Source organism: Homo sapiens, chromosome 2 (genome assembly GCF_000001405.40).
Source record: "Homo sapiens chromosome 2, GRCh38.p14 Primary Assembly".
NCBI classification, from domain to species: Eukaryota; Metazoa; Chordata; class Mammalia; order Primates; family Hominidae; genus Homo; species Homo sapiens.
This window is the reverse complement of record NC_000002.12, coordinates 73,981,501-73,997,016: the sequence shown is the minus strand read 5'-3', so window position 1 is coordinate 73,997,016 and position 15,516 is coordinate 73,981,501. Positions and strand designations below refer to the sequence as shown.

Here is a 15,516-nt window from a genome sequence, read left to right as displayed (position 1 = left end):
AACAGAGCTAGAATTCGTACCAGTCACAGCCAGCAGTGCAGGAACAGCCATCAACAGTGCCCCAGCTGCATGCTGGTGCTACCTGAAGCAAGCAGGCAACAAACCCCCATACCTGTGGCCACCTGAAGGTCAGCCAGTTATCCCACAATGGGCTGCCGGCCTTCTTTTCGATCCCTCCCTCAGTGGTTAATAAAAACTTAGGTTATCAAGCCGGTCATGGTGGCTCATGCCTGTAATCCCAGCACTTTGGGAGGCCGAGGCAGGCAGATCACCTGAGGTCCAGGAGTTCAAGACCAGCCTGGCCAACATGGCGAAACCCTGTCTCTACTAAAAATACAAAAATTATTCAGGTGTGGTGGTGCATGCCTGTAATCCCAGCTACTCAGGAGGCTAAGGCACGAGAATCGCTCAAATCCAGGATTGGAGGTAGCAGTGAGCCAAGATCATGCCATTGCACTCCAACTTGGGGGACAGAGCAAGACTCTGTCTCAAAATAAAAAATAAAAAAAAATCTTAGGTTATCAGATTTCCTATGCAAATGACAGCAGACAAGGCCACCATGGGATTTGTCCACCCTGGGTGTGGCAACTGTCTGTGCAGTGCCTATGCCCTGCACAGACATAGGCAGAGGCCCACAGCAACTCTAAAGGGCCCTCCCAGAAATAGCCAGCCAGGTTGAGCAGGGCTAAAAAAGAAGATGAAGGGGTCTCTTTCCTTTCCAATACCTCCTCTCTTCCTGAGCATCGTCCCCTCATTCCAAAAAGGAGCTGTAACGGAGTGAAGGGGAATGGAGTGGGAAATTAGTGACAACTCCTGAGACCCTGGACCTGGTCTTCCGGCCCGCCCAGTCACCACACTGCCTTTTCCAGAACAAGAAAACCCACAACAGAGAGGACAACTCTGGCAGGACCCAGGAGATAAGGTTGGAGCTGGAAGTCAACATGAACACAGCTCAGTGGGGCTGCTGACCAAGACTGTAGGTGGGGAGGAGTCATTTTCCCCACTAGGGACCCACAGAGAGCCTCTGGGTGGCGCACACCACCTCACTCCTGTCCCTGTGCTCTCCCATAGCGACAAGTAAAGCATGGCCGTGCCTTCAAGGAGAAGCAGTGGACTGGGCAGTGGGTTAGAATCCAGGAAAGTTCTGTCCAGAGACCTCACCACTTACCTTGGGTGTGGGGGCTGGGATCTCAAACCCTGAGAGCTGCCAATTCAGACAGCTATTTCCCCAACCTAAAAAGAGCCCTTGGTGAGGGTTCAGGGACCACACAGGGTCACTCTAAGGCTGGCTCCCAGCACTGTCCTACAGAACCTCCTGTGATGGCAGAAATGCTATCTGCACCGTCCAATACATGAGCCACAAGCCACTAGCCACATGTGGCTAATAAGCATTTGAAAGTCGACCAGTATGACTGAGTCACTGAATTTAATCTTAACTAATTTAAATTTAAATAGCTACCTGTGGCCGATGGCAACTATATTAGAGGGCTCAGGTAGGGCACGCTTCTTAAATCTGGGGAGGTCCTGAATACTCTTGACAATCTGCTAAAAACCACGGATCCTCTCCCCTGAGAAAACACACCCCTGCACATTCACATAACATTTGGCTGAAATTTTCAAAACAGTTCACAGACCTTACCCCAACTGAGGTCTGAGATTAGGTCTAGGTCTAAGATTAAGTCTAAAAGTTGACCAAAATACTGCAGTCTAAGATAGATGCCTCTCTTGCATGTAGTCATCTAAAAAACATGCAAACAGGCCAGGCACAGTGGCTCACGCCTATAATCTCAGCACTTTGGGAGGCCAAGGTAGGCGGATCGCCTGAGGTCAGGAGTTCAAGATCAGACTGGCCAACATGGTAAAACCCCGTCTCTACTAAAAATACAAAAATTAGCCAGACGTGGTGGTGTATGCCTGCAGTCCCAGCTACCTGGGAGGCTGAGGCAGGAGAATCACTTGAACCATGAGGCAGAGGTTGCAGTGAGCTGAGATCACGCCACTGTACTCCAGCCTGGGCAACAGAGCAAGACTCCGTCAAAACAAACAGACAAAAAAAAAGAAACATGAAAATAGACCTGATAGGCCAGGACAGTGGCTCATGCCTGTAATCCCAGTGCTTTGGGAGGCTAAGGCGAGTGGATCACCTGAGGTCAGGAGTTCGAGACCAGCCTGGCCAACATGGTGAAACCCTGTCTCTACTAAAAATACAAAATAAGCCAGGCACGGTGACACGTGCCTGTAATCTCAGCTACCTAGGAGAATGAGGCAGGAAAATTGCTCGAACCTGGGAGGCAGAGGGTGAGTGAGCCGAGATCATACCACTGCACTCCAGCCTGGGGGACACAGCGAGACTCCGTATCAAAAAAAAAAAAAAAAAAGAAAGAAAGAAAGAAAGAAAGAAAAAAAATAGACCTGATAATATACTTCACATAATCTTAGCAAGAGACCACCAAATGTGAATCTCCCTCCCAACCTTCCCGCAACCCAGAGGACATCCTCATAACTTCCCTGTTAGGCAGCACCCAGACTCGTGCAGGCACTGGTCACACAGGACCTCTCAGGGCTAGTTCCTCAGTACTGGAATAGTCATAAATGCTAGACAATTCTTTTTTCTAATGTGGGTTCAGTCTGTCTAATAACTTTCACCCACTAATAAAACTCCTGCATACTCCCTCCAGTGAGGGAACTGACCTCTTCTTCATACAAGCTTTGCCTGAGCCTGTGTTCCTCTACTCATCAGCAGCTGAACAGCCCTGCTTCCTTCAACTGTCCTGCATGTGACCACTCTGACAGATTTCAAGACAGACTGTCAACATTCTTTTTTAGAGTTTCAGTTATTCCTACCTGCTAGGAAGCCAGAGTTCGTACATTTCTTTTTTAAAACAAGTACAGGCCTTTGTACTTGCCCTGATTAAATCCCATTGAGTCTTACTGGGACTCACTGTACCTGACTGCCCCAACCTCCTTAGCCCCTTGTTCTATCATGCAACGTAATAACTGCATCATCACTGCCACCCACCTACCCACCACACCCACAGATCTGACTCGCCTACTACTTCATCTTGTGAAAAGGGCACACATCGATTCTGCTCCATAAGCTTCCAGATTGTTCCATGAGACCTAAGATTCTATGGACACACCCCTTCCTCTGCACAACCACCACCATCTACTACTGGGTCATGGAGCTCCAACCTCCTGAATCAGGCTGCTGAGCAGCAAACATCTTCTGAGAGCCCTTTCCTGACTGTTGTCAGAACAAATTCACAAGTTCTCTGATAACTTTGTAGATCAGTTTTATTGATAGGTTTTACTGATAACTCACTAAACTACAAGGAAACAAATGCCAGAAGAACAAGCAGAAACATGCAGTAAATCTCAAGAGGTCCTTGTCTCCCCGGCTTAGAGGGTCAGGAAATGGGTTGGGTCATCCTCTTTACCCTGCTGGCACTTGGAATTCTTTGCCTGTTCATCACAGCTTATTTGTCACTGCCCCCGCCCTCCACCCCACTGGCTCCGTGTCCCATTCCCTTCTGGTCATAGAGATGTTGTAGACAGCTCCTCAAACTTTCATGGACATACAAATCACCTGGGGATCTGGTTAAAGTGCAGATTTCAATTCAGCAGGTCTGGGGTAGGGCTGGACATTCTGCAGTTCTATCAAACTTGCAGGTGATGCCAATGCTGCTGGTCCACTGAGCAGCAAGGTGGAAGTGAGGCTGTGGAACATACAGGTGTCTCAGGACTCAGGTGAGCAATTTGCCATAGAATAGTCCAGGTAGGTGCCCATCACCTCACAGTCTCTCACCTGCATCAGAGGGTTTCCATGCTAACTACACATTAGGTACACCTGGGAGCCCCAGACCAGTTTGGTCCACCCTGGATCAATTAAATCAGAATCCCTTGGGAGTGGGGCCCAGGCACCATGTTTTGCTACGTTTCCCAGGTGATCCCAATGTGGAACCCCTGATCTACATGGCTGACAGACTGAACAGGGCAGTCATATCAGTGGCCTCCCTCTCTAAGATGACTTTAAGTCAAAAACTGGACTTCTCATCTGTCCAAGCTGGCAGGAGATGCCATCATTTATTTACAGAAATCTAGATCTGTTCATTTGCCTCAGCTGCTTTGAAAAGAACCACAAGCACCCTCAAAGTTTATCACCTGCCTTTCTAAAGTTTCACAAAACACCTTTTAAACAATCTGTTCTAGAACTCTCAAAAACTGACATTAAGATTATATATTTACAATTTTCAAAATCTCTTTGAGAAATTGGACTTTTAGCCCATCTCTGGTTTTTTGGCCCTCTTTCAATCATCATAATTCCATAAAAATTGTAATTCACCATGAGTTCACCAGGCTGGGCAAAATAGCGACACTCTGTCTCTATTTAAAAAAACAACAAGGGCCGGGCACAGTGGCTCACGCCTGTAATCCCAGCACTTTCGGAGGCCAAGGTGGGCAGATCACCTGAGGTCAGGAGTTCAACACCAGCCTGGCGAACATGGTGAACCCCCTTCTCTACTAAAAAAACAAAAATTAGCCAGGCGTGATGGCACATGCCTGTAATCCCAGCTACTCGGGAGGCTGAGGCAGGAGAATCGCTTGAACCGGGGAGGTGGAAGTTGCAGTGAGCTAAGATCACGCCATTGCAGTCCAGCCTGGGTAACAGAGCGAGACTCCATCTCAAACAAAACAAAACAAAAAAAAAAAAGAAAAGAAAAAAAGATTGTGATTTTGCAATCACATCTGCAGGTGTTCAGTAGGAAGTGAATGACTCAGACTCAGGTAGGGTAGCTGGCTGGCTCTGTTTTCCCCAGGTTATATCTTCTGACACCACAGGGACCCAGTGTCTGTCCACTCTCTCCATCCCTAGAAAGTTGTAAGCCTACCTCTTCCCTCTCACTCTTGCTAGAACCATATACAAGACATTGTTATCAGCATTTTCCACCAGCCTTAGCACATTCTGGCCACTGGACTCCCTGATGCTCCTCTTAGGGGCTCAGACCACACTCCTGACTCTGCTTCAGTGCCATGTCCCCACTTTCCACATAATGTGCTTGGCCTTTTACCCCCTCACTCACTAGAGAACAGCCCATACAGCCACACAGATGGCTCAGTCCTTCCCCAGTCCCACCAACACCTTTCTCCTGAAGCTATCATTCATGACTGTTCTATCAGCGTTTCCTTCTTTTTTTTTTTTTTTTTTTTTTTGAGACAGAGTTTCACTCTTGTTGCCCAGGTTGGAGTGCAATGGCGCAATTTCAGCTCACTGCAACCTCTGCCTCCTGGGTTCAAGGGATTCTCCTGCCTCAGCCTAGGTACACCTGGGAGCCCCAGACCAGTTTGGTCCACCCTGGATCAATTAAATCAGAATCCCTTGGGAGTGGGGCCCAGGCACCATGTTTTGCTACATTTCCCAGGTGATCCCAATGTGGAACCCCTGATCTACATGGTTGACAGACTGAACAGGGCAGTCGTATCAGTGGCCTCCCTCTAAGATGACTTTAAGTCAAAAACTGGACTTCTCATCTGTCCAATCCTCAGGAGCTGGGATTACAGGCACCCACCACCACGCCTGGCTAATTTTGTATTTTTAGTAGAGATGGGGTTTCTCCATGTTGGTCAGGCTGGTCTCGAATTCCTGACCTCAGGTGATCTGCCTGCCTTGGTCTCCCAAAGTGCTGGGATTACAAGCGTGAGCCACCGTGCCCGGCCAGAGTTTGCTTTTTAACAAGCAATTCTATCCCTCCAGCTAATTTTCATTTAGAATCTGTGGCCGTGGAGTTAAAAACCGCTTGCATTTGAAAGACGATATTCTAAAGACTATCCATAAAAATTGTAATTCACCAGTTCAAGACCAGCCTGGGCAAAATAGCGAGACCCTGTCTCTATTTAAAAAAACACCAAGGGCCGGGCACGGTGACTCACGCCTGTAATCCCAGCACTTTGGGAGGCCAAGGTGGGTGGATCACCTGAGGTCAGGAGTTCAACACCAGCCTGGCCAACATGGTGAAACCCCATCTCTACTAAAAATACAAACACTCCTCCCTGTCCAACCTTCTTTCAGGCTTGACAAATGCTCAGATGCGGTCCCTTTCTCTAAAGATTCTCATCACTTCCACTTCTCTAGTCAATTCTCCCTTTGATGCTGAGACCAGCCTGAACACATTCCTCTCCACAGCCTCCATCTTCAGGAAGATAGAACTACCAGCAGGATGGGCAAGGATTCATCAGGTGTTCTGATATTGTTGAAAGATTCCCAATTCCAAGGTATCTTGACTCAAATCTGGCAGAGATCTGTTTCAAGATGTAAATCCAGTTGGCTGAGGGCTAGAAAGTATTCTCATCACATATATCTTTCCATTTCTCTCATTTTCACCCATAATATTCTCAGTCATGCTTCCAAACTTATGCATACATTTTTCTATGCATTTTTTTAAGGGTCATTCTCCTACTCTAATAGTTATTTACTTCCCTCATCCATGGTCAACTTTTCAGTCAGGCCTAGGACCATAGTGACTCCTTGGTGTCTAGCCTCCTCCCCCAGCACAGAGGCTGGCAAACTCCTCCCTCCCTCTGCCTGGCTCTACTGTTCTGCCCCACGGTTCTTCTATGAGCAAGTGAGGTGAATGCCTTGAGATAAACGCTTAATTTGTATTGCATCTGGAGTTGTATGCAGGCTGGAGTGCAGTGGCTCAAATATTGCCCACTGTGGGCTCAGGCGATTCTCCCACCTCAGTCTTTCCAGGAGCTAGGACTACAGGCACATGCCACCATGCCTGGCTAATTTTTTTTTTTTTTTAGCAATGGGGTCTTGCTATGTTGCCCAGCCTGGTCTCAAGTGATCATCCTGCCTCAGCCTCCCAAAGCTCTGGGATTACAGGAGTAAGCCACCATACCTAGCCCTTGTATTGCATCTTTACAGCTCGAAGACTAATGCACAGTTGTTTATGCATAAAGATTCATCATTTTCTAGATGTTTAGGAATGTTTTGTCATCATGCATTGATTACCTACTATGTGCCAGACATTATGCATATTTTATCTCATTTAATCCTCATGACAACCCTACAAAGCAGGGTTACTCCCATCTTACAATTGAGAAAATGGACACAGAAGGGATGGAGCACTGGTTGCCCAAGAGAGTAAGGGCACAGCACTTACTCTGGGTTCTCAGCCCTATCCACTGTGCTTCCTTACTCACCAAACCCTACTTTTCTACTCAGTCATCTTCATTGTACTACCAAGCCACCACTCAGGTAAAAAGAATATGAAATCAAACAACCTCCTCTAAAGTCTTCCTGGAACTAGGAAGGAAGACCACAGCTACTACCAACCTGCCCCAACCTCACATTAGGACCCAGAGAAGTAGTCACCGCCTCCTAGGGCAGGAAGGCCCATCCCTGGGGGACCTGTCTCTAGCCCTAAAATGCTGAACTTCTTTTCTGAGGGATTCCCCTGCACCCTTCTCCCCACCGACAAAGCCCAGAGAAAAAGAGTGAGGAGCAGGGAAAGAAGATGGAAAACCCAAGATAATCTCCTCCTTACAGGATGATATAAAGTAACTGCAAGCAGACAATTCAAAGGAAGCCCCAAAGTCAGCTACGAGAGATGGAGACAGAAGGGAAGTAAGGAAGAGTGCCCAGAGGAGCACAGCACTCTCACAGAGAGGAGGAAGTACCACACAGCAGGAATGCAGGTAAATGGTCTGATGTCCGAGAGGATCCTAGGATACTGCGTCCCGCCCCACCTGAACAGTCACAGCCAAAACAGCCTCCCCAATCCCGGGACATGTTCCCTCTGCCACACGGCTGCTAAGATCTAATGGTTATGGTCCCAGCAGTCCCCAGCATCTGCTAAATGCTGGGCTGGTCTTGGGGTCTCATCCACCCTGGCAGTCTCTCAGGAACATCTCAGCTTTTCAATTAATTATGCCACAGATATGCCCGTTAAATGTGGTATACCCTAGACAGTGACTCTCTGGCATTCAGCCTTCATGGACCAAAAAAAAAAAAAAACAAAAAAAACTTTTTTTTTTTTCAGAGAGAGGCACTGGTTACCATTTTGTATTTTACCAAGCTAAGACTTAAAAAAAAAAAAAAAGGTCTAATTTCTATTACACCTTCACTTCATAAAGCACATTTTAAGAAAGCGTATTTTAAACATCGAGAAGTAGAAAGGACCTATCCTTAGAAAAAAAGTACTGCTCTTTGAGTCACAGAAAGTTAGCTTTACGAAAAAACTCATTCCACTGTCCCCTTTTGTTTCTCTAGAAACAGAGAACTCCACAGATCAGCATGTAGACCCTCTGTCCTCGGACACCCAAGGCTGTCCAGCCTCACCTTACCTGACCCTGGGGCTTAGAGAGGCAGTTGGCCATGGCAAGGTCAACAGGGATGCAGACATCTCTCAGCAGGGGTGTCTCTAAGCCTCAGCCACCCCAGATCCATGATATCTTAACCAAGACCACCCGGCAGCCTGGGCCGACAGCTTACACACAGGATGACAAGGTCCTGGCCTCACTCCCAGCCCCTTTCACTCAGGTATGTTCTGTTGTTGCCAAAAGCAGCACTTCAACTTAGTTCACAAGGGCCACTGCTTCCAAGAACATCTAGCCCAGGAAGCTCAGCATCCTCATTCCTCCCGTTTAATTATGGGAGGAACCGAGTAAGATAATGGGGGCTGGGGAAGAAAAGGAATGCTAGAAGGAAAGGCGCAAAGGAATCAAGCTTTGCAAAGTAGACTCAGCAGCTCCTCCCTACACCAAAGCACCAGCTCTTACATCCAGAAGTAAAGCCTCCCCCGCTTCATAACACCCTGCTTTCAGTAGCGACCCATGGGGCACTGGGCCAGCAGGACGATAACTACCCCCAACACCAGCAACAGAGAAGTCTCCCAGGCTGGGGCTGGGGGCTGCATATGTGATCCAGATGTCTGCTTTAACCAGAAACAAGGGAAACAGGGCCCCGAGTCTGCAGTCCCTGGGTCAGGACATACAGCTTCCACAAGGCACGGACAAGACAAGGTGAGAAGGGGCAGAAATATCCAGCAACCCCATGTCCCTGTCCTCAACACTTGAATCTTTCTTCCTAGCCACGGGACCAGCCCCACCAGCTCGCTGTGAGGCTCTGCACTCAGCGGTCAGGGAAACCCAGAGCACGGGCTGCCAGCCCAACGCCAGCCACAGGGACCCGAGTCCTCAGAAGCAAGCAGCTCCCAGCCCAGCTGGAAGAGGCTTTGAAAGCCATCAAGTACAACTCTTCCACTTCCCCCAAGGAAAAGACAGGCCCAGAGAGGGGGCCCGAGTTGTCTGGGCCCTTGGACAAATGAATGGCAGAGCCAGGGGGAGCTCGAAGACAGCGCAGGCCTCCGTCTCTGTCCAGCGCCAGTTCTACTGCCTGGAGCGACCTCAGCGGCTACACCGCTCCTCCTAAGCTGCTCAACTTCGCTCAGCCCTACTTCTGCCAACTCTCTGCTGTCGCGGCTGTCACCAACCTCAAGCCGGCAGTCCGCCACTATAATGGGAGGGAAAGACGGCCAATGCAAGGTCATGGTCTCTCCCATTCCTTCCCACCCTGCCTGCTCTCACCCCAAATCTCCTTCCCTCCTCCACCCTACTACCCCAAATAAAGGGAGTACACCTCCCTGGGGTTGACAGTGTCTCAAAAGCATGTCATCCATTCATGCAATTAGTATCTGAGTGCCTACTACCTGCCAAGGAATTGTGCCAGGTCCCGAGAACACAGAAATAAAGTTTTTGACCGCAAGAAGAACTAAGATAGGGGAACCCAAAACATCAGTTCGTCACTAGATTCCCCAACAGTTTCAACTGGCTCTCTGGCCATCTGAGAAAAACGATGAAAGAAACATCCCACTCCATCAGGGCATCATAAAACCACCCTGTCAATCCAAAACTTTGTCTCCAAATCCATCAGCCTCCATCTCTTATCTTACACCCTCACTGACCAAGTCATCCAAGCATTAGCATGAGCTTGAAATACAACATCTGAGGCTTCAAGCAGCAGGACAAGAAACTTCTAGAGGTAAAGGTAGACATCACAGTCCCGCCTCAAATGCAAACATCAGAGATGAGGGTGCTAGCTCAGATCCCCCTTCTACCCAGTTACTCATACAAATTGTCAGCCCTGCAAAGGAGTCCAAACATGTCAGTTACACTCCTACTTAAAGTTGGACCAAGAGGATCAGAAATGAGAGAATGGACTCAACTGGACGAGCCTTGCTTGAACAAGACCCCCGTGATCACCGTGCCCTCGAGGAAGGAACAGGGTAGCCCAGCAAGGGCCGGCTTACCTCCTTGAGAAGCCCTACTTTTTTCTTCAGCACCTCACATTTTCGCAGTTTGCAGATCTGGTGCGTGCGGCGGTTGGTACAGCTAGTGCAAGCGCCACAGTTTTCCAGCCGCCGGCAGGGCTCACAAGTACCACACCGTTTCCGTTTCTTTCGACCATCTCCACCCCCTCGGAGTTGGGACTCACTCCCAGCCATGGAGAGCCCAGACCCCGGGAAGCTCCCTACCATCACCTGGCGCTGAGGGAAGTCATAAAGGCCTGGCAGGTCCGGCTGGACGGCCAGGGGCACCTGAAACTGGCTCATGATGCTGCCAGAGGTGGGGTCATAGGTGCTGGGGCAGAACCACAGTCGTTTCCTGCCACCTCCAAAGGCCACCAACAGGTCCTTCTCGCCTAGAACAGTCAAGAGTCTACAAGGGTGAAGGCAAGTGGCTTCAGTCTCGTGGATGGATGCCTCTTCTCAACCCCTCTTCACCTCCTCTGCAGCAGTCTGATCGGACTCCGTAGGGGGCCACTCTCCCACCTGCTGGGGCCCAGGATCTGGGGGAGGACACCAGCAGCAGCCCTCAGAAAAGGGATCATCTTGGCCCGGTGGGTTCTTCACCCTCACCCACCCTGGACCCAGGCATGAGTTGAGCAGGTAGGGGTGTGGTGGGGGCAGAGCTGAGTGAGCAGTTTCTCCTGGTATTTTTCCTCCAGGGTCTGGACGCTGGAGAAGGCAGTGCTGCCTGAAAAAGACAGAAAGGGGAAGCGCATCACTCGGGGCTCAGGGACAACTTTCACGTGTCACTTCTTCCTGTTTCTGGGAAGAGAAAATGGGGGAAGAGATGGGGCTTGCTCAATTGAGGTCCTGCCCAGAACCTCAGGCAGGACGCACCCAGCACCCGCTCCCTGTCTGAGGGAGGCGGCCTCGGGCCTGAGGGCTGCTGGGGGCCCTGGATTCAAGGGGGTGATCAAGGTGAGATTTCTAAGAAAGTTGCCCTCTTCCCCACCCCCACGGGCTGGTGAGAGTTTCACCAAAATTCCCCCACACGCCCTGGCTGGAGGCCGCCGGGCCCTCCCTAGGGAGCTGAGCTTTCAAAATAAAGTTTGCTGAGAGCCTCGCTCGGCGGGACTGCCCCGGCGCCCCCGGCACGGAAGCCGCCTGGAGGTGGGGGCGCGCCCTGGGCAGCCCGCGCCCGCCGCGCCCGCCGCCGGAGCGCAGCCCGCCAGCCCGACTGGGGAGGGCGGCCCGCGCCGCCGAGGGGCGCGGGGAGGGGGGCGCGCTCGAGCCGCGGGCCGGGCCGCGCGCGCGCCGCCGCTCGGGCTCCTTTGTTCTGGGGCCTCCGCCACTCCGCTCCGGCGGCTTCGCAGCCCCCGCCCCCGCCCCGCCACCCCCGCCCGGCTCAGCCGCACAGCGCCCCGCAGCACCCCAGTCCGGCCCCCCGCACCGGAGGAGCGGCCCCCCGCCGGATCCGGGCCGTCCCCTCCCCCTCCCCCGGGCCGGGCCCCCCGCGCCTCCCGCCGCCCCTCCCCCACTCCGGAGCCGGAAAGGCACCGACTGCACCGACCTGCCCGCCGCCTCCGGGGCGGAGCGCACAAAGGGGCAAAGTTTCCCGGCCCGCGCCGCCGCCGCCACCACCGTCGCGGCCGCCGCCGCCGCCGCCTGGGGCTCCCGCCTCCCGGAGCGCCCGGCCCGACCGAGCTCAGCGCGCGGAGCCCCCCGCCCGGGCCGAGGAGGGGACGGCGCAGGAGGAAGGAAGAGGCAGCGGCGGCCGCGGCGGCAGCAGCAGCAGCAATGAAGGCGTCCGCGGGACTCCCCGCCCCCCGCGCACCGCGGCACGTGCTCGCCCGGGGACTCCCCCGCCCGGGAGGGCGCACACGTGCGGCCCCGCCGAGCCCCGCCGGCCCGGCCGGGCCCCGGGCCGGGCGAGAGGGGGGTGGTTCCCGCGGAGGGGAGGGGTCGGGTGGGCGGCCTGCGAGCGGCTTGGGGCAGGCTCCGGCCCGGCCGCCGCTTCTCTGCACCTGCAGTGGCTCCCACCCACGCGGTCGGCCCTCCCGGGAGGCGGCCGCCCCCTTCGGGTTGGCCACCCTCGCCCTCCGGCGGGGCTGCAGCCGGGGCCGGCGAGGCGGGGTGGGGCACGCGGACCTTCCAGCCTAGGCCCTCGGCCGAGCCTCGCTCGGTGTCCCCACTTCCTGCCACTCCCTGCGGGCCAGATCTGTCCGGGACAGCCCCGGCGCCCCCGGGAGGCCTGAGCGCCGGGCCCGACTGACCCCCCTGTCCCAGCTGCCGCTGGCTCATTCCGAGGCAGGACAATGGGGGACATCGCGCGTTTGCGTACCGAGTCAGCCTGGCCGGCAAGAAGGGGTTGCTCGGGGGCAGAGGCTAAGGGCACCCTCGCAGGGGTCACGGCCGAATGCCCTGTCCAGGTGGACCCCACGGCCCTGCCATCACCAGCCTCCCCCGCGCCGCGCTCGATTCTTTCGCGTCGAAAACAAAGACTAATCCGATACCCCCGCCCTGCCTCCCAGAGGAGGGGGAACGGGCGCGTCGCGGAGGGTAACTGAGGAGGACAGCGTTCAGGAGGGCCTCGGACAGCCTCGAGGGGGCCGTGGGGCGACTAAGCCCTAAAACCCGGCGCAGACACTTTGAAGAGTCACCCTGGGCTACGTTCCAGGCAGGGGGTAAGGGGCAGGGCTCAGGAATATTTCCAAGTTGCCAAACTGCCCGTTCTCTCTGCTGCTTTTTTCCCTCACCTGTTGTGCAGGCCAAGTTGAAATTCCAGGTTAGATTAATTCAGCCCCACCCATCTGGCCTGACTGCCAGGCTGGTGCCTGCAACTGCCTTCCACCTACCTCGGTTGCAGGGGAGCAGGGTGGGTCTCTGACATACACGCGCACACACACACTCGGGCGAGTCCTGGCAGAAACAGCCACAGGACGGACTGGCCTGACCAGTTTGGGCGGTGCTCACGGAGCCAGGTACCTGGCAGGCGTCGCCGCCCGGCTGCAGCTAACAGCTTAGCCAGAACTGGAAAAAGAGCATTCGGCCGGCTATTTAGAAAGAAAGAAAAAAAAGTAACTGATCTGAAGTAGCGCTGTCCAGAAAGCCCTAGGCGGTAAAGCAGCCCGGGTTCTATCTGGAACTTCCCTCTGATTTTGACAGCCTGCTCCAGGGTCCAGGTTGTCAGCGAGGGAGTGGGTGGGGGTGAACATGGCTGCAATATCCACTTCCTACCATGGCCTTTGGGAGGACTGAAGAGTTTCTGTTCAGGGTAGTAAGACTAGAACCGAGACGAAAAACCAAGAGAGTGCAATTTTCAAACAGGGGAACAGGTTGCAGACTCGTAATTGTTTTTAATGTAATATATTTTTAATAAGCAACTTTATTAATAAAAAATGTGTATAAAGAAGACGTGGAGACTACAGATACTAGAGGGGAAAAATCACCAAATTACAACCATATTTAACCATTTGCTATATTTCCTTGTAGCCTTTCCTATTTGTGGATTTACTCACACTGATTATACAATTTGCCATCCTCTTTTAACTTAACATTGTACCATAGGCATTTCCCTGTTTGGTATACAGTTTTCAGAAAGTGTGACAGTGAGGTGAAGAAGATGGCTCAGGAGCCAGAGAACTCTGGCTTCCAAACCTGAATCTGCCACTTGGTAACAGTGTGACCTTGGACTAGGTACTCCATCTTCAAGGGAATCCAAGTAAAAGACTTAATATAGGGCTCAATGAATGACAACAACTAATATTGTTTAATCCATATGACAACCTTGTGAGGTAGGTACTATCATCAAACCCATTTTATGGATAAGAAAACAGATTAAATAACTTGCCCAGGATCACTCAGCTAGTAAGTTGTGGACTTTCAGAGGAGCCCAGCAGCCATCCTCTTGTATTCTGTCTGGGTAAATGGCACCAGCAAGTTACTGTGTCATTTACTCTTTGCCAGCAATCTATGAGAGGGTCATTTCATAAAGCCCTCTCGTTTAGGTAACTGGGTGAATGCTGGTGCCATTCACTGTGACAAAATGCAGAAGGAAGGATGCCTGGGGATGGAGACATTCGTGTGAAAGTGAGTGTGCAACTGAGGGGGTGAGGCCTGGGTTTGAGATTTGGGCCCCATCAGTGAGCAGACAGCGAGGCCTCAGTTGTGGAGGAGCTCATCCAGGGTGGATATGGAGTGTGAGAGGGAAAGGCTGCCAGGACAGAGCCCCAGGGAATACCAGCCCATGAGGGACAGGAGCTGAGAAGGCGCCGCCAGAGAGGTTGGAGGGAACCCAGCCAGGCTAGAGAGCTGCCTGTCATATCTTCCCGGCCTCTGGAACCTTACACTTCGGCAGTCCTGTTGCTCATTCCTTCTGCCTGGGGAAAAACCCTTCCCACCCCACCCCTTCTCAGCTACCCCTTGTACCTGCCAAATTCCCACTCATCCTGCAAGTCATAAGTGCCAGTTCCATGAAACCTCCAGCTGCTCAGATGATTCCAGAGCCCCACCCACTCTCCCTCCACAGAAGTTTGACTCTCCCTGCCTAGGAACAGTTATCTCATCGGCGCTGGGCACTGGAATGGTTTGCATGTTTCTTTCCCAGTTACTACAAACTCCTGGAAGGGTAGCACGCTGTCTTTCACCTCATAACCCTAGACCTAGCAACCAACCACTGTGTTGAATGAAGAGACGAGGTGAGTAGACCCTAATGAATGACAGACCCCAGTAACACTGAAGACCCATAGGCTTCTTTCCTGCTTTCTTTACGACTTGCACAAACTGGTCAGGGGCGCCCAAGATAAAACAGCCTAAACTCCTCAGGTCCTGCCTTCTGGTTCTCCAGCCTCCTGGGCTGCTGCGGCTATTCCCATTCACATTGCGCTCAGGGCAGGAGAGCAGCGGGGGTGGGCGTAGGGATAGGGCGAGCCCTTCCTGGGGCTGCATTAGCCTAGACGCAGTGGTTCCGCCAAGAGAGCCCCGGCACCAGCAGCATCACCATCTCCTGGGAACTGGCTAGAAATGCAAGCTCTCGGCCCCATCCTAACCCCACTGAATCAGAAACCCTGGGGGCGGGCCCAGCAATCTGTTTTAATTAGTCCGTCAGGTGAAGTCAAGTTAGAGCAGCACTGGACTACAGCAAGCGGGGGAGAAGGAAGTTCAGCACCCAGGTGGAGACTGCGATTAGGCCCCCAAGGCGCTTAGAGCAGACAGAGGGAGAGAGGCT

General features: G+C 52.6%; 1 protein-coding gene across 13 annotated transcripts in view, besides 8 other annotated features; it reads right to left on the bottom strand.

The window, feature by feature from the left end:
• The window catches only part of TET3 (tet methylcytosine dioxygenase 3), a 151,868-nt gene extending 138,482 nt beyond the window's left edge, over positions 1 to 13,386 (bottom strand). For 3 of the 13 annotated variants that reach the window (XM_011532682.3, NM_001287491.2, XM_011532685.3), the window contains exons 1-2: positions 11,860 to 12,107; positions 10,311 to 11,037 (exon numbers count right to left, since the gene is read on the bottom strand). In XM_011532682.3, coding sequence (XP_011530984.1) covers positions 10,311 to 10,613 — 303 coding nt within the window. In that variant the 5' untranslated portion in view covers positions 10,614 to 11,037; positions 11,860 to 12,107. Of the gene's footprint in view, positions 1 to 10,310; positions 11,432 to 11,739; positions 11,761 to 11,859; positions 12,108 to 12,630 lie in introns of those variants that run through there. The other 10 variants (XM_011532683.3, XM_047443659.1, XM_024452746.2 and 7 more) reach the window with 8 other exon arrangements.
• Positions 1,271 to 1,340: an enhancer, noted in NCBI's record as "active region_16041". NCBI's record gives its function as "activates an Ori minimal core promoter by ATAC-STARR-seq in GM12878 lymphoblastoid cells {active_cell/tissue: GM12878}" and the evidence as "EXISTENCE:reporter gene assay evidence [ECO:0000049][PMID:35858748]".
• Positions 2,526 to 2,615: an enhancer, noted in NCBI's record as "active region_16040". NCBI's record gives its function as "activates an Ori minimal core promoter by ATAC-STARR-seq in GM12878 lymphoblastoid cells {active_cell/tissue: GM12878}" and the evidence as "EXISTENCE:reporter gene assay evidence [ECO:0000049][PMID:35858748]".
• Positions 2,676 to 2,865: an enhancer, noted in NCBI's record as "active region_16039". NCBI's record gives its function as "activates an Ori minimal core promoter by ATAC-STARR-seq in GM12878 lymphoblastoid cells {active_cell/tissue: GM12878}" and the evidence as "EXISTENCE:reporter gene assay evidence [ECO:0000049][PMID:35858748]".
• Positions 10,685 to 10,914: an enhancer, noted in NCBI's record as "active region_16038". NCBI's record gives its function as "activates an Ori minimal core promoter by ATAC-STARR-seq in GM12878 lymphoblastoid cells {active_cell/tissue: GM12878}" and the evidence as "EXISTENCE:reporter gene assay evidence [ECO:0000049][PMID:35858748]".
• Positions 11,395 to 11,564: a silencer, noted in NCBI's record as "silent region_11648". NCBI's record gives its function as "represses an Ori minimal core promoter by ATAC-STARR-seq in GM12878 lymphoblastoid cells {active_cell/tissue: GM12878}" and the evidence as "EXISTENCE:reporter gene assay evidence [ECO:0000049][PMID:35858748]".
• Positions 11,945 to 12,634: a silencer, noted in NCBI's record as "silent region_11647". NCBI's record gives its function as "represses an Ori minimal core promoter by ATAC-STARR-seq in GM12878 lymphoblastoid cells {active_cell/tissue: GM12878}" and the evidence as "EXISTENCE:reporter gene assay evidence [ECO:0000049][PMID:35858748]".
• Positions 11,988 to 12,186: a silencer, noted in NCBI's record as "fragment chr2:74211958-74212156 (GRCh37/hg19 assembly coordinates)". NCBI's record gives its function as "represses an EF-1alpha promoter that drives an FKBP-Casp9 reporter gene in an ReSE screen in K562 erythroleukemia cells {active_cell/tissue: K562}" and the evidence as "EXISTENCE:reporter gene assay evidence [ECO:0000049][PMID:32094911]".
• Positions 12,808 to 13,731: an enhancer, noted in NCBI's record as "H3K27ac-H3K4me1 hESC enhancer chr2:74210413-74211336 (GRCh37/hg19 assembly coordinates)". NCBI's record gives its function as "activates a minimal SCP1, AML or CMV promoter by ChIP-STARR-seq in naive H9 embryonic stem cells {active_cell/tissue: H9 hESC(naive)}" and the evidence as "EXISTENCE:reporter gene assay evidence [ECO:0000049][PMID:30033119]".